This window comes from Homo sapiens, chromosome 3, assembly GCF_000001405.40.
Source record: "Homo sapiens chromosome 3, GRCh38.p14 Primary Assembly".
In the NCBI taxonomy this organism is placed as follows: Eukaryota; Metazoa; Chordata; class Mammalia; order Primates; family Hominidae; genus Homo; species Homo sapiens.
In genome coordinates, this window is record NC_000003.12 from 33,173,331 (window position 1) to 33,195,203 (window position 21,873).

General features: G+C 40.9%; 1 protein-coding gene across 2 annotated transcripts in view, besides 1 other annotated feature; it reads right to left on the bottom strand.

Annotated features, from left to right (window-relative positions):
• The window catches only part of SUSD5 (sushi domain containing 5), a 68,768-nt gene that overhangs the window by 23,288 nt on the left and 23,607 nt on the right, over positions 1–21,873 (bottom strand). The window contains exon 4 of one of the 2 annotated variants that reach the window (NM_015551.2): positions 1,556–1,744. The exons of the other annotated variant lie outside the window; for it this stretch is intronic. Within the exon in view, the coding sequence (NP_056366.1) occupies positions 1,556–1,744 (189 nt within the window). The remainder of the gene's footprint in view (positions 1–1,555; positions 1,745–21,873) is intronic. 2 annotated transcript variants of the gene reach the window in all.
• Positions 13,647–13,941: an enhancer, noted in NCBI's record as "tiled region #10469; HepG2 Activating DNase matched - State 5:Enh". NCBI's record gives its function as "activates a minimal TATA promoter and a strong SV40 promoter by Sharpr-MPRA in HepG2 cells {active_cell/tissue: HepG2}" and the evidence as "EXISTENCE:reporter gene assay evidence [ECO:0000049][PMID:27701403]".

A 21,873-nucleotide genomic window follows, 5' to 3' on the forward strand; every position in this document is an offset into this window, starting at 1 on the left:
AACACACACATACTCCATGGGCAGCAATTCTACTGCTAGGAACCAACTGAAATGTGTTCACATGGGAACCAAAGGAGGCTAAGGACAATTATAGCAGCATAGTTTGTGACAGCCACAAAATGAAAATAAGCAAAATGTCCACCAACAGCTGATTGGATAAATAAATAGTGGTGTATTCACACTGTGGATAGTAAATAGCAGTGAAGACTATAGTAGCAGTGAAACCACAGCTTCAGGCAACAACGTGAATGAATCTCACAGGTGTGACAGCACCCTAGGTCTCATCTGAGTTCTCTCATGGGATCTGCAGGACATTCCAGGGACAAACTGTCCTATAAGTTCAGTAACATCATGGTGCTGGAGTTATTTCCCTCTATAGAACCAAACTCTGCTTGGTACCTAGATGTCATGGGAGGTCAGGGAGGGGGTTCTTGAAAAAGTCTTGGAGTGAGAGGAGCACTGTGAGATAAGGGAACAATTCAGGGTCTAGCATGAGGTCCGAGGTATAGGAGTCACAAGCCAGGTCAGCCATGGGGCTGCCCCAATCGCCTGCTGGCTGCTGCGTCCCTGTTGGGGTGGGGAGGCCAGGCCTGGCTGTGGCTGGACACAGCGATTTCTGCTGCTGGAGAAATTCCCAAGGGGCTGGGCAGCAGGGGTTAAGGAGGCTGCAGTAACCTGGGACTCCTAGAAATGTGATGTTGATGGAATGGGGACATCTGGGGAAATCAGATCAGGTTTGGGGAACTCAGTGTCCACTAGGACTCTTTTTAGTTTCAACTAACTATTCAGACTCCACAGGTCACTCCTGGCATTCAGAAGGCTCCAGGCCAGGGAGCAGAGCAAGGCCACTGGGAAGCAGCAAGCAAGTCTCATCCGTGGGAATAGCCCTTGCAGCAGTTCCATACAGCCGTCCTGGAGTTCGTCTCCTCGCTCCACCCCTCACCACCCCTGCTTTCCTCCCAAGATTGCTCAGGTGGATCAGAACTCATATGTGTGGTGTGGATCAATAGTGCTTGGAAGCCCCATGCCCCATAAGAGTCTGAATGTCTTGCAACAACCCACAGAATAGTTCTCAGGGTCCTCACAAAGGTCATGCTCAGATACAAGAATCACCACCCTCAGGGCAGCCCAGAGCTGGGCTTCCTAACACATATTCATTATAGTCTTCCCAGCCCAGTTTACCAATTGGGGGTCATTTTCACCAGAAGCAATGCTGCTTTGTACCACAGCTGATGTTCCGACTTGACCAGGTTTCCAGGGAAATAAACTAGAAAGTTAACTCAAGGTCAACTGTGTACTTAGAGAAGTGGGGATTTTAACTTGTTAACCCTTTACTCCCAGCATGGAAGATGAAGAGCTCAGTTGTGCATTTGAAATGCTACAGGAATCCCCAAGTGGAGATGTTGCTAGGTCCAGAGCTCAGGATAAAGGTCTGAAAGCCTCTTTTCAAAGGCACCTTGGTGGAGAAGAGCCCACCGCATGCAGCCAGCAGCAGTGGAGCCCTCAGCCAGCACTGCGTGGGCACGCGAAGGTGGCCCATCCCTGGGCTGCTTACCTTTCCCACAGGCCTGCACCAGGCCGTACCACTCCCCACAGCTGTTACATAGCAAGGTGAAGGCGGTCTCCCGGTGGCCCATGATGTGGCCTGGGGCACACACGTACAGCAGTTCATCCCCCATTTCCAAGCCGGTGCGGCCCTGCAGGATGGTGTGTGGGAACGAAGGCGGGTCTCCACACGGCTTCTCTGAGGAGAAGGAATCACAGTTAGCTTTTCCAAACTGTGCGGAACTTTTTCAGCCTATGAGAAAACAGACTTAAAACACAACTCTCCCCTGCCGCCCACCGTACCCTCAACTGTGATCACAGGGGCTGTTTCTTGGTCACCCTGGCAACTCCAAGGCCTGGCAGAATACCTGGAATAGAAGAGGCACTCAAAAATACTTGTTGCGTGAATAAACGCCACATAAAGTGCTGCAACTTTGCATTTTAAAGTTGCCAAACAATGTTACCTTCTAATGTTTCCTTGAAAGGAGGGTCTGGAGATACATACCTAGCAGCAAGCTCCTTTTTGCCGTATTTTATAAGTGAATAGGAACTCTGACAAAGGCTAAATGTTACAGACTACAGAGTACAGCAGAGGGTATCTTTCCCCCCTTCCCCGCCCACAACCTCAACACCAACAGCAACACCGTTATCAGTTTGGTATACACAAAAATTACACACACACACACACTATATATATATATACACACACACACATATATATACACACATATATACAAATACATACATATTTCTTTTTTTTACATAAATGGGATTTATATCGTATGTATTATTGAGTACCCTGCTTTTAAAAAATTGATTATTTTTTAGGTTCACATCAAAGTTGAGCAGAAAGTACAGAGAGTTCCCCTATACCCCCGACCCTTCCACGCACACAGCTTCTCCCACTATTAGCATTCTGCACCAGAGTGGTCCATTTGTGAAAACTGATGAAACTCCACTGATACCTCATTATCACCCAAAGTCCATAACTTACCTCAAGGTTACCATAATTTACTCAGTGTTGCACATTCTATGGGCTTTGACAAATGCACAGTGACACATATCTACCATTATTGTATCATACAGAATAGTTTCACTGCCCCAAAGTCCTCTGTGCTCTGCTTATTTATACCTTCCTTCTCCCTAAAGATTGCAACAGCTGATCCTTTTACTGTCTCCATAGTTTGCCTTTTCCAGAATTCACATAGTTGGAATCATAATACGTAGCCTTTTCAGATTGGCTTCTTTCACTTAGTAACATGCAATTAAAGCTCCTCCATGTCTTCTTATGGCTTGAGAGCTCATTTCTTTTTAGCACTGAATATTATTCCATTGTCTGGATGTATCACAGTTTATTTATCTATTCACCTACTGAAGTACATCTTGGTTGCTTCCGAGTTTTGGCAACAATGAATAAAGCTGCTATACACATCCATTTACAGGTTTTTGTGTGAACATTAGTTTCTGGTTCACTTGGGTAAATACCAAAGAGCGTGACTGCTGGATTGTATGGGAAGAGTATGTTTAGTTTTGTAAGAACTGCCAAACTGTCTTCCAAAATGGCTGTACCATTTTGCATTCCCACCAGCAATGAATGAGTGTTCCTGTTGCTCCACATCCTTGCTAGCATTTGTTGGTTTGTGTTCTGGATTGCAAATATTTTCCCAAGTCTGTGACCCATCTTATTCTCTAGACATTGTCTTTTGCAGAACAGAAGTTTTAAATTTTAATGAATCCCAGCTTATCAATTATTTCTTTCATGCATCATGCCTTTAGTCTAAGAAGTCATTGCCATACCCAAGGTCATTTAGGTTTTCTCCTATGATAACTTCTAGCAGTCTTACAGTTTTGGGTTTTACATTTAGGTCTATGGTCCATCTCGAGTTAATTTTTGTGAAGGGTGTAAGGTCTGCGTCTAGGTAATCGTTTTTGCATGTGGATGTCCAATTGTTCCAGCAGTTATGTAAAAGAGACTATCTTTGCTTCATTGTATTGCCTTTTCTCCTTAGTCAAAGATGAATCAACTATATTTATGTGGGTCTATTTCTGGGCTCTCTACTCTGATCCATTGATATTTGTCAGCTCTTTCACCAATATCACACTATCTTGATTGCTGTAGCTTTATAGATGTCTTCAGGTCCAACAGGTTCAGCCCTTTGACTTTGTTTTTCTCCTTCAATATTTAGTTGGTTACTCTGGGTCTATTACCTCTCCATATAAACTACAGACTTTGTTTGTTAACCCATTTATGCCAGAGGTTGCAAATTTTTTTGTGTCAAAAATCAGACCTTGGTGATGACCTTGAGAAGTAGGATATAAATAACTCCCACAAGCTTAGCATTCCAACAATGGAACACGAGGCATAAATGGGTTAATATCCGTAAAAGTAACTTGCTGAATTTTTTATTGGGATGTGTTCAATCTATAGATCAAGTTGGGAAAAACTGACATCTTCACAATCCATGAACATAGACTATTTCTCCATTTATTTAGTTCTTCTTTGATATATTTCATCAGAGTTTTACAGTATTCTTCATCTAGATCTACAGATCTTGTACGTAATTTGTTAGATTTATACCTAAGAATTTCATTTTTCCTTGGGGTGCTAATATAAATGGTAACATGGTGTTTTTTGGCTTTTTTGTTTTTTTGAGATAGGGTCTCACTCTGTCGCCCAGGCTGGAGTGCAGTGGTGGGATCATGGCTCTCTGCAGCCTTGACCTCTTGGGTTTAAGTGATCCTCCCACCTCGGCCTTCCAAAGTCTTGGGATTATAGGCATGAGCCACTGCACACAACTGGTAATGTGTTTTTAATTTAAAATTTCACTATTTAATTGCTGGTCCACAGGAAAGTGATTAACTTTTGTACGTTAACCTTGTATCCTGCAATCCTGCTATAATTGCTTTTTTTAAAAAAATTATACTTTAAGTTCTGGGATACATGTGCAGAACGTGCGGGTTTGTTACTATAACTGCTTATTAGTTCCAGCTTTTTGTTGTTGTTGATTCTTTCAGATTTTGTACATAGACAATCATGTTATCTGCAGACAAAGACAGTTTCAGTTGTTCCTTCGCAATCTATATTTTCTTTTCTTATTTTATTGTATTAGCTAGGATTTCCAGTACAATGCTGAAAAGCAGTGGTGAAAAGAGACATCTTGCCTTGTTTCTGATCTTAGTAAGAAAGCTTCAAATTTCTACCCTTAATCATGATGTTAGCTGTAGGTTTTTTTGTTTTGTTTTTGTTTTTGTTTTTAGATGTTTTCTATTGAGTTGAAGAAGTTCCCCTCTATTCCTGGTTTGTTAGGAGTTTTTATCATGAATGGGTGTTGGATTTTGTCAAATGCCTTTTCTGCATCTATCAATATAATTATGTGATTTTTCTTCCATAACCTCTTGATGTGATGGACCATATTAATTTTGAAGACTAGCCTTGCACACCTGGGATAAATCCCACTTGGTTTTGGTGTACAAATCTTTGTATACATTGTTGAATTTTGTTTGCTAATATTTTGTTGAAGATAATTGCATCTATGTTCATGAGATACATTGGTCTGTAGTTTTTTTTTTGTTGTTGTTTTGTTTTTTTTTGAGACGGAGTCTTGCTGTCGCCCAGGTTGGAGTGCAGTGGCGTGATTTTGGCTCACTGCAGGCTCCGCCTCCCGGGATCATGCCATTTTCCTGCCTCAGCCTCCCGAGTAGCTGGGACTACAGGTGCCCACCACCACGCCCGGCTAATTTTTTGTATTTTTAGTAGAGACAGGGTTTCACCGTGTTAGCCAGGATGGTCTCAATCTCGTGACCTGCCAGCCTCGGCCTCCCAAAGTGCTGGGATTACAGGCGTGAGCCACCGCGCCTGGCCCGGTCTGTAGTCTTTTTTGTAATGTCTTTGTTTGGTTTTGGTGTTAGGGTAATACTAGCCTCATAGAATGGCTTAGAAAGTATTCCTTCTGCTAACTTCTGGAAAAGATTGTAGAAAATTGGCATAATTTCTGCCACTAGTGAACCCTCTGGGCTTGATGCTTTCTTTGGAAGGTTGTAGAGGATTGGCATAATTTCTGCCTTAAATGTTTGGCAGAATCCACTAGTGAACCCTCTGGGCTTGGTGCTTTCTTTGGAAGGTTGTAGAGAATTGGCATAATGTCTGCCTTAAATGTTTGGCAGAATCCACTAGTGAACGCTCTGGGCTTGTGCTTTCTTTGGAAGGTAATTAGTTATTGATTCAATTTATTTATTTATTTAATAGCTATAGGCCTGTTCAGATTGCCCATTTCTTCTCTACAATGGGACAATTTAATGTAGGTTATCAAATTTGTAGGCATAGAGTTGTTCATAATATTCCTTTATTATCCTTTTAATGTCCATAGGATCTGTAGTGATGTCCCCTCTTTTTTTTAAAAGCATAACCAATTGTTTAATCAGTTTTATGTGACCTATGAGCCTTCAGAAATCAATACCCGAAGAACCAGGGAAAACTGTTGATTTTTATGTTTAGATTCAAAGAAGAATGGACAGCTGTGTAGAAATGTGATTGGACAAAAGGGGTATGATCTAATGGTAATATACTAAAGGGGGAAACCCAGCAAGGTTTGTTTGTTGAGCTTCTTGTTGGCCTCTCTGTGTAGCATTATTTTCTCCTAGATATAGGCAGAACCTCTCTGGAATATAGGTCTTATGACCTATTACCAAACAAGGTAGGTCAAGTTATTTCTTTCAGGCTGGGTGCTACACAGAAAGGTGGGAGAAGGCTATAATAGTATTTCCAAGTTTTACGGCTTGCTTTGGGGTTTCATTTTCAATATTAGTAATTTGCATCTTCTCTCATAGTCTGGCTAGAGGCTTATCCATTTTATTGCTCTTTTCAAAAAACCAACATTTTTTTCCATTGATTTTATGTTTGTAATTTTACTGATTTCTACTCTAATTTTTATTACAGTCATGTGCCACATAACAACATTTTGGTCAAGGAGGAACTGAATATATGATGGTAGTCTCGTAAGATTATAATGGAGCTGAAAAATTTTTATCACCTAGTGATGTAGCCATTGTAAAATCATAGAGCAATGTATTATTTATGTGTTTGTGGTGATGCTGGTGTAAACAAACCTGTTGCACTGCCAACTGTATAAAAGTATAGCACATACAATTATGTACAGTACAAAATACTCAATAATGATACTAAATGACTATGTTACTGGTTTATATATTTACCATACTATACTTTAATCATTATTTTAGAGTGTACTACTACTTATTTTTAAAAAGTTAACTAAAGCAGCCTCAGGCAGGTCCTTCAAGAGATATTCCAGAGAAGGCATTGTTATAATAGGAGATGACAGCTCCATGTGTCTTACTGCCCCTGAAGACTTTCTACTGGGACAAGACGTGAAGGTGTCAAACAGTGATATTGGTGATCCTAACCCTGTGTAAGCCTAGGCTAATGTGCATGTTTGTGTCTTAGTTTTTAACAATAAAGTTTAAAAAGTTAAAAAAAAATTTTTTTGAGACATGGTCTTGCTCTGTCACTCACGTTGGAGTGCAGTGGCATGATCATGGCTCACTGTAATCTTGAACTCCTGGGCTCAAGTGATCCTCTTGCCCCAGTTTCCTGAATAGCTGGGACTATAGGCACATGCATCTGTGCCCAGCTAATTAAAAAAATTTTTTTTGGCCAGGTGCAGTGGCTCATGCCTGTAATCCCAACACTTTGGAAGGCTGAAGCAGATGGATCACTTAAGGTGAGGAGTCAAAGACCAGCCTGGCCAACATGGTGAAACCCTAAAATTACTTTTTATACTAAAAATACAAAAAAAAATTATCCAGGCGTGGTGGTGCATGCCTGTAATCTCAGTTACTCGGGAGGCTGAGGCAGGAGAATAGCTTGAACCCAGGAGGCAGAGGTTGCAATGAGTCGAGGTTGTGCCACTGCTCTCCAGCCTCACTGACGGAGCAAGACTTTGCCTCAAAAAAAAAATTTTTTTTTTTTTTTGTAGACATAGGGTCTTACTATGTTGCCCAGGTTGTTCTTTAACTCCTGGCCTCAAGAGATCCTCCTGCCTCAGGCCTTCCAAAGTGCTGGGGTTGCAGGCATGAGCCAGCACACCCAGCAAATAATAATAATAATAATAAATTTAAAAAATAAAAAAAGTATAGAATAAGGATATAAAGAAAGAAAATGTTTGTACAGTTGTACAATGTGTTTTTAAGCTCTGTTATTATGAAAAAGTCAACAAGTTTTAAAAAATTAAAAATTTATAAAGTTACAATAAACTAAAGCTAATTTATTACTGATGAAAAAATATTTTCATAAATTTAGTGTAGTCTAAGTGTACAGTGTTTATAAAGTCTGCAGTAGTATACAGTAACGTCCTAGGCCTTCACATTCACTGAACATTCATTCACTGACTCAACCATGGCAACGTCCAGTGCTGCAAGCGCCATGCATGGTAAATGCCCTATACAGATGTATCATTTTCATCTTTTTTTTTTTTTTTTTGCATTTGTTTGGTTTTTGTTTTGGGGGTGGGGAGATTTGAGATAAAATCTCACTCTGTTGCCCAGGCTGGAATGCTGTGACATGATCGTGGCTCACTGACCTCTTGGACTCTCAAGCAATCCTCCTGTGTAGCTGAGACCAAGAGCACGTGCCACCCTGCCTAGATATTTTTTTCCCCCTTTGGAGAGACAGGGTTTCCATATGTTGCCCAGGCTGGTCTCAAACTCTTGGGCTCAAATGATCCTCCCTTCTCAGCTTCCCAAAGTGCTGGGATCACAGGCATGAGTTACTGTGCCTGGTCCATTTTTTGTTTGTTTTACCTTTTATACTGTATTTTTACTGTACCTTTTCTATGTTTAGATACACAAATACCTACCATTGTGTTACAGTTGCCTACAGTATTCAGTACAGTAACACACTGTACAGGTTTGTAGCCAAGGAACAACAGGCTGTACCATTAGTGTAGGTGCCAGTAGGCTATACCATCTAGGTTTGTGTAAGTACACTCTACGATGTTCACACAATGACAAAATCATCTACAATGCATATCTCAAAATGTATCCCTGCTGTTAGTCAATGAATACTGTATTTCTTTTCTTCTGTTTAATTTATATTTAACTTGCTCTTCTTTTTTGAGTTTTCTAAAGTGGAGGCTAAGATTATTGATTTTAGATCTTTCTTTTTTTCTAATATATGTATTCACTGCTATAAGTTTGCCTCTAAGCACTGCTTCTCACAACTTTTGAAAAGTATTTTCATTCTCATGTGGTTAAAAATATTTTAAAATTCTCTTGAGATATCTTCTTTGACCCATGCATTATTTAAAAGTATGTTGTTTAATCTCCAAGGACTTTGGGATTTTCCAGCTATCATTCTGTTATTGTTTTCTACCTTAATTCCACTGTGGTCTGAGAGCAGACATCATATTCCTATTCTTTAAAATTTGTTAATTTGTGTTTTACGGCCCAGGATGTGGTTGATCCTAGCAAATGTTCCATGTGAGCCTGAGAAGAATGTGTAATCAGCTGTTGTTGGATAAAGTAGTCTAAATATGTCAATTATATCTAGTTAACTAAATTGGCTGTCAAGTTCAACTATGTGCTTGCTGATCTGCCTGCCAGATCTGTCCATTTCTGACAGAGGGGTGTTTAAATCTCCAACTACAACAGTGGATTCATCTATTTATCCTTGCAGTTCTATCAGTTTTTCCTCATGTATTTTGGCATCCTGTTGTTAGGCACATATACATTAAAGATGGTTATGTCTTCTTAGAATATTGACCTCTTTACCATTATGTAATTCTTCTCTTTATCCCTGATAACTTTTCTTGATCTGAAGTCTGCTCTATCTAAAATGAGTATAGCTACTCCCACTTTATTTTGATTAGTGTTAGCATGGTATATCTTTCTCCATCCCTTTCCTTTTTGTTTTTTGAGACGGAGTCTTGCTCTGTCACCCAAGCTGGAGTGCAGTGGTGTGATCTCGGCTCACTGCAAGCTCTGCCTCCCAGGTTCATGCCATTCTCCTGCCTCAGCCTCCTGAGTAGCTGGGACTACAGGTGCCTGCCACTACACTAGGCTAATTTTTTGTATTTTTTTTTTTTTTAGTAGAGACAGGGTTTCACCGTGTTAGCCAGGATGGTCTCGATCTCCTGACCTCGTGATCCACCCGCCTTGGCCTCCCAAAGTGCTGGGATTACAGGCGTGAGCCACCACACCCAGCTCCCTTTACTTTTTATCTATATGTGTCTTTATACTTACAGTGGGTTTCTTATAGACAACATATAGTTAGGTCTTGTTTTTTAACACACTCTGATAATACCTGCCTTTTAATTAGTGTATCTAGACCATTGATGTCTAAAGTGATCATTGATATAATTGGATAACCACTATAATTGTTATTGTTTTCTATTTGTTACCGTATTTTCTGTTTCTATTTTTGTCTTCTATGTTTTTTAAGTCTTTTATGGTTTTAATTGAGCATTTTATATAATTCCATTTTCTTTCCTTTCTTAACGTATCAATTATACTTGTTTTTTTATTTTTATTCTTTATCTTTTTTAGTTGTTGCCCTGGTGGTTGCAATACACATTTACAAGTCCAACTCCACTTTCAAATAACACTATACTATACTTCACAGGTAGTGCAAGTACCTTATAATAACAAAATATGCCTAATTCCTCCTGCCCCCTGTATCATTGGTGTCATTCAGTTCACTATTGAATTGCTGCTATTATTTTGTACAAACTATTATCTCTCTGATCACTAAGAATACAAAAAAGTAAGTTTTTACTTCACCTTCACTTATTTATTCTCTGATGTTCTTCCTTTATTTACATAGGTCTGAGTTTCTGACCTATATCATTTCCCTGCTCCCTAAAGAACTTCTTTTAACACTTCTTGCAAGACAGGTCTACTGGCCACAAATTCTCTCATTTTTTGTTTGTTTGAGAAAGCCTTTATTTCTCTTTCACTTTTGAAGGACAATTTCTTAGGGCATACAATTTTAGGTTAATGGGGTTTTTTTTCCTCTTAACACTTTAAATATTTTATTACCCTCTTTTTTTTTTTTTTTTTTTTTTTTTGAGATGGAGTCTCGCTCTATCTCCTTGGCTGGAGTGCAGTGGCGTGATCTCAGTTCACTGCAACCTCCACCTCCTGGGTTTAAGCGATTCTCCTGCCTCAGCCTACTGAGTAGCTGGGACTACAGGCACACACCACCACACCTGGCTACTTTTTTTGTATTTTTAGTAGAGATGGGGTTTCACCATGTTGGCCAGGCAGGTCTCGAACTCCTGACCTTAGGTGATCTGCCTGCCTCAGCCTCCCAAAGTGCTGGGATTTAAGGCATAAGCCACCACACCCGGCCTTACACTGTCTTCTTTCTTGCATGGTTTCAGAGGAGGAATTGCATATAATTCTTACTTTTGCTCGTCCATAGATAAGGTAGGGTTTTTTCCTCTAGATTCTTCCAAGATTTTAAATTTATCTTTAAATTTTTTTGTAGTTTGTTAATGATATGCCAGGGTGTAGTTTTTTGGGTATTTATCCTACTTGGTGTACTCTGAGCTCCCCAGATCTGTGGTTGGTTGTCCGACATTAATTTGATGAAATTCTTGGTCATTACGATTTCAAATATTGCTTCTGTTCCTTTCTTCCTTCTCCTTCTGATACTTCCATTATGTGTGTGTTATAATTTTTGTGGTACCCCATAGTTCTTGGATATTCTGTTCTCTTTTTTTGTCTTTTATTTCTCTTTGTTTTTCAGTTTTGGAAGTTTCTATTGCCATATCTTCAACCGCAGATATTTTCTCCTCAGCTGTGTCCAGTCTACTGATGAGCCTATTTCTGTTACAGTGCTCTTGATCTCTCACATTTCTTTTTGATTCCTTAGAATTGCCACCTCTCTGTTGCTATTACCCATCTGTTCTTGTATGTCATCTAATTCTCCCATTAATGCCCTGAGCATAGTTATCATAGCATTTTAAAATTCCTGGTCTAATAAATTCAATGTTCCCGCCCTATCTGAGTCTAGCTCTGATGCTTGTTTTCAGTCTTTTCAAACTGTATCTTTTGTCTTTTAGAATGCCTCGTAATTTTTGTTGAAAAGTGGACATGATGTTCTGAGCAAAAGCCACTGTGGTAAACAGGCCTTTGGGAATGTGGTGGGAAGCTGTGGAGGGGAGAGGAAGTGTTCTAGAGTCCCATGACTAGGTCTCAGTCTTTTGTCAGCATGTGCCCCTGGACTGTGAACTTCATCAGTGCTTCTCATTTTTCCCCTCCCATCTAGGTGAGAGAGGATGGCTACAGGGAGCTGGAGTTGGGAATTTCCCTCCCTCCAGCAGGTCAGGCTCTGAAAAAATATTTTGTTCCTGATCACAGGCCTTGTTAAGAAGAACAGAATATTCTGGGGTATTTCAAAATGGTTCTTTTTCCTCTCTGTTTGCTGGAAGCAAAAGATTTTTCTCTGATATTTTCTGTAAGGACCTGATAGAGCTCCTGGAGGTAAAACTTCCAAAAGCATGGGGGCCCCTTGATGACTGGGTCCCCCTGGAGTTTTTAACTCACAAACTTGTCCACCCTGAGCTTCCAGCAATTCATCAATTACAGCTACGTTTTCCTACCCTGGCACTGGTTTCTTCCAATTGTTCTGCTTAGGTAACTTGTGATTATCTGTTTTTACCTGTTTCTCCAATTCTAGGGACAGCAGTTTGCCCTGTGACCTCACTTTGCTGATGGATCTAAGAAGAGCTGTGGATGTGTCAGTTTGTTCAGCTTTTTACTTGTTATGATGGAGCAGTAACTTCTAAACTCCTGACATGCTGGGCCAGAAACCAGAAGTCTTTTTCTTTTTTTCTTTAAATATTACAGCTCTTTCCACATTAATACTATAATCTACTTCAATCTTTGGTAGCAGACATTATTTAATCATTAGACAGATATTTATGTTGGTTCCAACTTTTCATGATTATAAATAATGCTTCAATGAACAGTCTCAAATGCACATTTTTGTACCTATCTTATTTCTTTAGGATAGACCTCTAGAAGTGGAACTGCTGCATCAAAGTAATGTTACAATTAAAAAAAATTCAAATTCAAATTTCCTCTTCTAATTTTACAGGTTGTTTTCCTTTAGTCTTTAGGCAGTCAAGTTACCTAAGAAGCATATTGCTTAAAAGAAGATAGACTTTGGGAGGCCAAGGCGGGCGGATCATGAGGTCAGGAGATTGAGACCATCCTGGCTAACACGGTGAAACCCTGTCTCTACTAAAATACAAAAAATTAGCTGGGCGTGGTGGCAGGCGCCTGTAGTCCCAGCTACTCGGGAGGCTGAGGCAGGAGAATGGCGTGAACCCGGGAGGTGGAGCTTGCAGTGAGCCGAGATTGCGCCACTGCACTCCAGCCTGGGTGACAGAGCAAGACTGTGTCTCAAAAGAAAAAAAAAAGAAGATAGACTGAGAAATGATGAAAATAGAAAATAATAAAAAATACGACTTGTGCTTTAAGCCACCCTGACTGGCCTCGCAGCTTGTAGTTTGGTAGCACTTTCCTTTCTTTCTTTTTTTTTTTTGAGACAGAGTCTCATTCTGTCACCAGGCTGGATGGAGTGCAGTGGTGTGATCTTGGCTCACTGCAACCTCCGCCTCCCCGGTTCAAGCGATTCTCCTGCCTCAGCCTCCTGAGCAGCTGGGACTACAGGCGCGTGCCACCATGCCCAGCTAATTTTTGTATTTTTAGTACAGACAGGGTTTCACCATGTTGGCCAGGATGGTCTTGATCTCTTGACCTCGTGACCTGCCCGCCTCGGCCTCCCAAAGTCCTGGGATTACAGGTGTGAGCCACCACGCCCGGTCAGCACTTTCTTAAAGACGCTCATTGCTATGCATATCCTTTTATATGAGAGAGATTTTGAATGAAGAAGTGTGTGGCTGTACTTCAGGAAGACAGCACAGAGTGACACATTTTGACCAAAACTACCTTGACTCTCTGAGTCAAGGAGCCTAGGAGATCAAGTGCTTATTTCACCTATATGGCAATTCGGGACAAGCAGTTATCTGAAACCCTTGCCACAAATTCAGATGCATCCTCCGCAGGGTGAGTAGGGGAGAATCATGTAGGTGAAGAATGAACCAAAGTCATCCACCTCAGTTATGTCAGGCTGGACCAAATTCCAGCTGGTATCTCAAAGGCAAAAGGCCTGGACTTTCCACCTTTCTCAGCTGCCCATGACTCATGCTGGATGCCCCACTGTTTTCTTCCACCAGGATCTACTGGAAGGCTGTTCAGCAAACACTATGAAAGGACTGATTAATACTTTCAGTCTCACATAAATCTATCTAAGGAACACAGGGAAACTGTTTTGGAAGTAGAGAAGGAGGAACTTCAGGCTAAACTCAGATCCCACCAGACTCATAAGATCTTCTTCAGAATTAATTTTCAAAACGATATGGGCTAGAATCTGGCTCAGGAAAACCGCAATAATGCTGCTGAGAGTCTAGGTACATACACCATATGTTTCTGGATTTCCCGCAAACATTCAAGACAGGAAACACACTTCTGAGCTGGTGTGATTCAGAAGCTCCAGTACAACAGTGCTATGCGTTAACACAACCAAGTGCGTGCCAAAAACACCACTCATATCCAGGTGCAACTTGAATTAGTTCCTTTCACCAATCTTCTCATCTTGAACCTCACAAGGGAGCTATGGAAAACAGCTGGCTATATACCTGGACCTTCTTCTCCTCTCTAGGGAAACTTAACATTTGGTAAGTGTACTAACAGTCTTTTTTTTTTTTTTATACTTTAAGTTTTAGGGTACATGTGCACAACATGCAGGTTTGTTACATATGTATACATGTGCCATGTTGGTGTGCTGCACCCATTAACTCGTCATTTAACGTTAGGTATATCTCCTAATGCTATCCTTCCCCCCTCCCCCCACCCCACAACAGGCCCCGGTGTGTGATGTTCCCCTTCCTGTGTCCATGTGTTCTCATTGTTCAATTCCCACCTATGAGTGAGAACATGCAGTGTTTGGTTTTTTGTCCTTGATACTGCTTCTCGATTATTCTGTAGATAGAAATTGTGGTTTGTGAACACAGATTTAGGACCTGGGTTTCAACCATTTCAACATCAAGAGATATATCTATTATTTTTCCTTCCAAGAAAAGAAGATTTTATAAAAGATTCTGTCTATCAACCAAATGTTTATTCATAAGCACATTTATTTCACTCATTTTTCAATTTAAAAGGGCACATTTGCCTGCCAATCAAAGCTTCTGATAACCAGTGTTTCCACAAAGAATTTAGAACTCATATGAAAGTTGATGCTTTTATTCTGATAAATTGTTGACTTTCATCTTGACCTTTGAAATTTTAAAGAAGAGCCTGCAAAACTCAATTATTACTTTGCAAGACAAAAATGTAAAATTCTGAAACAAATGCCTGATCTTTCCTCCTTCCTTTTGGTGTTACCCAAGCTATGTGTCTTTAGGGCCCCCTGCTAGCTCCCTCCCACTCACTCCACAACACACAACCAGCATTGTCCTCCCCAAGAACAGTTAGTTCTTACACTCCTCTACATCAGTGGTTCTCAAAGATGAACATGCATCAGAATCACCTGGAAGGTTTGTAAAAATACATCTGGCCCTCCTTTTGAGTTTCTGACTCTGTAGCTGAGGCCCCAAAATTTGTATTTCTTGAAAGTTCCTAGGTAATGTTGAGACTGCTGGTACAAGGACCACCCTTGGAGAACTGCTGCTGTGGATCAAAAACCTATCCTCAAAAACAGGCAAAACCTATATGTGGTGATAAGAATTGGAATAGAGATGGGCCTCTGGCTCTGCTGGAGTAGGGAGGGGCAGAAGATTATTGGAAAAGGACTCCAGGGAACTTTCTGGGGTGAAGAAAATGTTCTATATCATGACTGGGTGTTGATTACACAGGTGTATACATTTGTCAAAACTTGTCAACTTTAGATCTGTGCATTTTGCTGATGTAAATTATACCTTAATGAACTAAGTTAATTTAAAAAATACCTCCCCTTAGAAAAATCTGTAATTTATTCAGCATGAGGTATAAGTGGTTGAAAATTATTCACAACCTCTCCCAATGGATACTTCATGCCTTAAGATAGTGATTTCCAACTTGTAGGGATTCTACCAGGGAAGCAATATAGTATTTGCAAGATGTAGGCAAGTTCATATGCAAATAAACCCTGCGTCAATCAACCAATAACTCTAAATCAATTACTAATACATGGAAATCTACATGATAGTACTCCTTGAGTTTCTCCTCCTAAAAACTTATTTAAAAAATATTCTAGCCGGCTGGGCGTGGTGGCTCACACCTGTAATCCCAGCACTTTGGGAGGCTGAGGTGGGTGGATCACGAGGTCAACAGTTCAAGACCAGCCTGACCAATATGGTGAAACCCCGTCTGTACTAAAAATACAAAAATTACCTGGATGTGGCGGCGCACGCCTGTAGTCCCAGCTACTCGGGGACTGAGGCAGGAGAATCGCTTGAACCCGGGAGGCGGAGGTTGCAGTGAGCTGAGATCACGCTACTGCACTCCAGCCCGGTGGGTGGAGCGAGACTCTCCTTCTCAAAAAAAAAAAAAAAAAAAAAAAAATTCTAGAATGAAATGATATAATGTCCTGGATTTGCTTTAAAATATCTCAATTATATAAGAAAGCTTTAGGAAAAAAATCAAATTTTTCCTTTACCCTCACCAATGACAACCATTGTTTTTGTTTTGAGAAGTGTTAAATGTTCTGTATTTGATATTACACATAAATCACACTAAAATGCCTTTCAGTAAGTAAAAAGAACCATTTTAGATACAGGGAATTCTAATTAGATTGGCATAGTTAAGACCAAAAATATAAAGTACACATTGCTAGCTTATCTTCAGCCTTTGCCTTTAAGATGCAGATGAATACAAAACACAAGTGAGTCTTGCTTGGTTCTGAGACAATGAAGGAATTTCCCCAGTATTTAAATATATTCCCATAACCAGTTATATAAATCTATATATAAAACCAATCTCCAATAGATTTTAAGATGACATTCACCATCTTTGCGAAAAGTTGACCCTACTAGTGAAGTCCAGTCATATCTTTAAAAGGGGAATAGTGACAGCATTTACTGGATTGGAATTACTATTCAAATTCAAAAAACTGAACGTACTCATTTAACCACAAGCCAGTCAGTCTTAGTTAAATCAGGACTGCCCAACAAAAATATTCATCAGTCACTCATGATCTAAATTCTGGTATATGAGATTCATTAAATTATGGTACACATAAAAAAGTCATAAGACATTTCTGTTTTGTAATAAATAAGCAATGGCCAATTAGTACTCGTTAGCAGCTTTTTTGAGATAAGCTATCAAGTCTGCCCTTTCTGCCTTCTTCTTAATGCTGGCGAAGATCATTTTTGTTCCAGGGATATATTTTTAACGTGGTTTTTACTCCTTCAGTTTTTCACACATACACACAAATACATATGCACAGCACTATGCTATAATACGATATAACCATTTTAGTTTGTAGCTTGTTAATTTAACATTATATTGTGAAATTTTCTCCTTATCAACAAATATTTGTATTTTAAAAATTTATTGTAAATGACTATATATTATTCCATTTGTATGGATTTACCATAATGGGCCCCCTAGGGTGGGACATTAACTTTGTTTCTATTTCTTCCTTACTAAATAATGAACATTGTAACATACCTTTATACTGAGGGAGTTCAGGAAATGCCACCCAAAAATATACAACTCTGTTTGGCATGCTGATTACTTCAAACTGAGGGCACTTGGGGGACAGAAGATGCAGGCAGAGGCTTTCTCTGGGCTTCCCTTGTCTGCCTGATGACAGATCCTCCAAAAGGAACTCAGTTGTCATGAATCCCCTCCCCAGGAATTTCATTAAGCAGAGAAGATTTACTCCTATCACAGCAGAGGACCTAGACAGACTTTGTTACACCCACTTTTCTGAGGGCTCATTCATCTCTCTCCAAAATCATTTAATCTCCCCTAAATTGTCTACATTCCCCCACCCCAGCCCATCAAATTCCACTGTGAATATCCAAAGTCCAGTAAGATTTAGGAGCTTATATACCTTCTTCATAGAGCATATTATGTACCCTCTTCACCCTCTTCATAGAGTATATATAAGCTCCTAAATCTTACTGGGTTTTGGGTATTTACTTTTCTTTCCTGTGATGCCCTGTGCATATAATAAATTAGTATACTTTGTTTTTTTTTTTTGAGATGGAGTCTTGCTCTGTCACCCAGGCTGGAGTGCAGTGGCATGATCTCGGCTCACTACAAGCTCCACCTCCTGGGTTTAAGCCATTCTCCAGCCTCAGCCTCCCAAGTAGCTGGGACTACAGGTGCCTGCCACCACGCCTGGCTAATTTTTTGTATTTTTTAGTAGAGACAAGGTTTCACCGTGTTAGCCAGGATGGTCTTGATCTCCTGACCTCATGATCCACCCGCCTCGGCCTCCCAAAGTGCTGGGATTACAGGCGTGAGCCACTGCACCCGGCCTAGTATACCTTTTTTTCCCTGTTGATCTGTCTGTTGTCAATGTTCATAGACTCAGTTACTGAGCCCTCAGAGCATAGGAAAGTCTTCCTTCCCCTACACTACTAGCCATGCTAATATCCTTAGAATAAAATACTCAAAGTGGAACCGATGGATGAAAGGGAATATGTAGTTTTTAAGCTTCTGATAAGTTCTGCCAAGTTGAATATGAGTGTTTAAGAATTTACACTCAGGCTGGCTGGGTGCAGTGGCTCACTCCTGTAATCCCAGCACTTTGGGAGGCTGAGGCAGCAGGATTGCTTCAGGCCAGGAGTTTTGAGAGCAGCTTGGGCAATATAGCGAGATCCCATCTCAATTAAAAAATAAGAAATAGCCAGGCATGGTGGTGTGCGCCTGTAGTACTAGCTACTCAGGCAGCTGAGGTGGGAGGATCTGTTGAGCCCAGGAGCTGTAGTGAGCTATGATCAAGCCACTGTATTCTAGCCTGGGTGACAGAGTTAAGATCCTGTCTCTAAAAACCCAAAAGAATTTATATACCTACAAGTGGCATATAAATTTGCTTGTTTCCCTTCAGAACACTGAGTGCTATCATTGTTTGTAAACTTTGACAATTTTACAGGCTGAAAAAGTGATTTCTTATATTAATGCGCATATTTTTTTTTTTTGAGACAGAGCCTTGCTCTGTCGCCTGGACTAGAGTACAGTGGCATGATCTCAGCTTACTGCAACCTCCACATCCCAGGTTCAAGCGATTCTCCTGCCTCAGCCTTCCAAGTAGCTGGGACTACAGGCATGCGCCACCACATCCAGCTAATTTTTTTTCTTTTTTTTTTTTTTGTATTTTTAGTAGAGATGGGGGTTTCACCAAGTTGGTCAGGCTGGTTTCGAACTCCTGACCTCAAATGATCAGCCCACCTTGGCCTCCCAAAGTGCTGGGATTACAGGCATGAGCCACCCCGCCCGGCCTAATGCACATATCTTTAATTGGCAAGAGAGTTGAATATTTATTGACCAATTGTATTGCTTCAAAATACTTCTCTATTGTGGTCTTTATCTTTTCCTTTCAATCTATAAGATATCTACATATATCAATACAATAATCCAGGCTAGGTGGTTTATGCCTGTAATCCCAGCACTTTAGGAGGCCAAGGCAGGTGGATCACCTGAGGTCAGGAGTTCAAGACCAGCCTGACCAACATGGCGAAATCCCATCTCTACTAAAAATATAAAAAATTAGTCAGATGTGGTGGTGCGTGCCTGTAGTCCCAGCTACTTGGGAGGCTGAGCCACGAGAATCTCTTGAACCCAGAAGGTTAGAAGGTGGAGGTTGTGGTGGGCCAAAATTGCACCAATGCACTCCAGCCTGGGTGACAGAGTGAGACTCTGTCAAAAAATATATATATATAATCTAATAATTCATTGCCTTATTTTCCCATATTCATAACCAATTAGCCTAGTACTATCAAATAATCCATCCATCCTTTTCCCACTAATTTGAAGTTTCACCATTCTTACTATACACTTATGTATGTTGGGTCTATTTTGATGTTTCCAGTCTTTTGCACTGAAGTACTTGTCTGGGTCTCAGTGCCAAACAACGGTTTTTTGCATATGAGCCTCCTACATTATTGAAATAATAGCAATAAGTTGATAAGACTGAAGCAAGCAATGGGGGAGTTGCAAGCGATGAAGCTATAGGGAGGCAGGCATGAGTTCATGAAGGGCCTCATAAGCCAGGTAAAAAGTCTAGAATTCGTCCAGAGGAAAACAAGGAACCACTAAGGAGTTTAACACAGAAAATAACATGATCCCCTTGGCGGTATAGAAACAACACTATTTGCATTGTAGACGATGCATTGAGGAAGCATGCCTGGAGACTGGAGGACCAGTGAGGAGGCCATTTGAGCTGTCCAGGATAGCAGCACAGGAGCCAAATGAGGTGCAGAGGGCAGGAACTAGGTGGATCTGGCAGATACTGAAAAGGGAAGTTTTTACAGAACATTTAACTACAAGGTGTTAGGGGTGAGATGAGGATCAGGGCATAGGAGGCTGAGGGATATGAGTATAAGTTTGGGACTTGTGGATTTTGATGGGCCACAAGCAATGCCCATAGGTAGCTGCATATATGGAATTCAGGGCTTTAGGGGTCTGGAGAGATTAGGCTTGAGAAATGATTTGAGATTACCAGGCATTTAGATGAAAACTGAAGCCTTTGAAGTGTTGAGTGAGTGAGGGGAGATGAGGGTGAAACCACCTTTGCAAAAAGTATGACAATGAGAAATATCTACCATAGGAAAATTATGACAGTGAAAGAAATCTGATCTAACCGACTCCATCTTGCTTCTAACCTACAAACTGCCCTCGTTCATTCCTGGGTATGGGCCAAACTAACTTTGTGAAGAATTTATAGTGTAACATTGAAACAAAAACGATAATAGCCCCTCCCTGAAACAAACCCCCCCACCACTTGCCTGGGGACCAGACTGCCTTTGCAAAACTAACAAAGTGGCCACAAGATTAGAAATTATGGCCCAGAAGACATGCGGCCAGAGGCCTCAAGGTTCCTATCCTCCCCAGTCGCTCCTATGAATAATATCAGTATTGTAAAACCTAAGATTGGTGTTTGAGATATTTCTCAGACTCTGTATTCTGATGGACCAGCTGGTGCCATCCGGACCACTAAACTGGCTCATCTGGTCTTGTGGCACCAACCCAGGAACTGACAGAGCAAGAGGACAGCTTCAACTCCCTAGGATTCCATCCCTGACCCAATCAACTCGCACTTCTCATTCTCTTGCCCCCTACCCATCAAATTATCTTTTAAAAACCCTAGCCTCTGAATTTTCAGAGGCTGATTTGAGTAATAATAAAACTCTGGCCTCCCATTTAGCTGGCTCTACGGGTATTAAACTCTTTCTCTATTGCAATTCCTCTGTCTTAATAAATGGGCTCTATCTGAGCAGCAGGCAAGAGGAACCCACTGGCTGGTTGGTTACAAGGGGAGATGAGGGCAGAGGTCAGAGCCCAGAGGAAGTGAGCAGAGAAACAAGAGTTCACAAAGGACATCACTGTAGCCAGACATATACAAAGAAAACCTGGAGCAAGACAAGGCAGAACATGTTTCAAGGAAGTGTGTGGTCAAGTACTTAAAGCTTCAGAAACAACAAGCAAAGGGCAGGCTGAGAAATGGCCATGATATTTAGCCACAGAGAAACTACCAGTAGCCTTGGTGACAGTAGTTCCACTTAACTGATAAGGCAGAAACCAGAAGGCAGTAGATGGAAGAATGAATGATGGAAGGTAAGATAATGGAGGCCATGAGTGCAGATGATTTTGAGGGCTATGAAAGGAAGGAGAGAGATGGAATAGTAGCTAAAAGGATACAGAGTAACAGCTTGATGAAAATATGAATTATTAGTAAATAATCACTTTCCTTTTTTCTTTTTTCTTTGTTTAGCTCAGAGGCAAGAATAAATAATCACTTTCAGCTGGGCACGGTGGCTCACACCTGTAATCCCAGCACTTTGGGAGGCCGAGGTGGGTGGATCACCTGAGGTCACGAGTTCAAGACCAGCCTGGCCAACATGGCAAAACCCCGTCTCTACTAAAAATACAAAAATTAGCTGGGCCTGGTGGTGCACACCTGTAGTCCCAGCTACTCGGGAGGCTGAGGCAGGAGAATCGCTTGAACCCAGGAGGCAGAGGTTGCAGTGACCCGAGACTGTGCCACTGCACTCCAGCCTGGGGGACAGAGTGAGACTCTGTCTCAAAACAAAC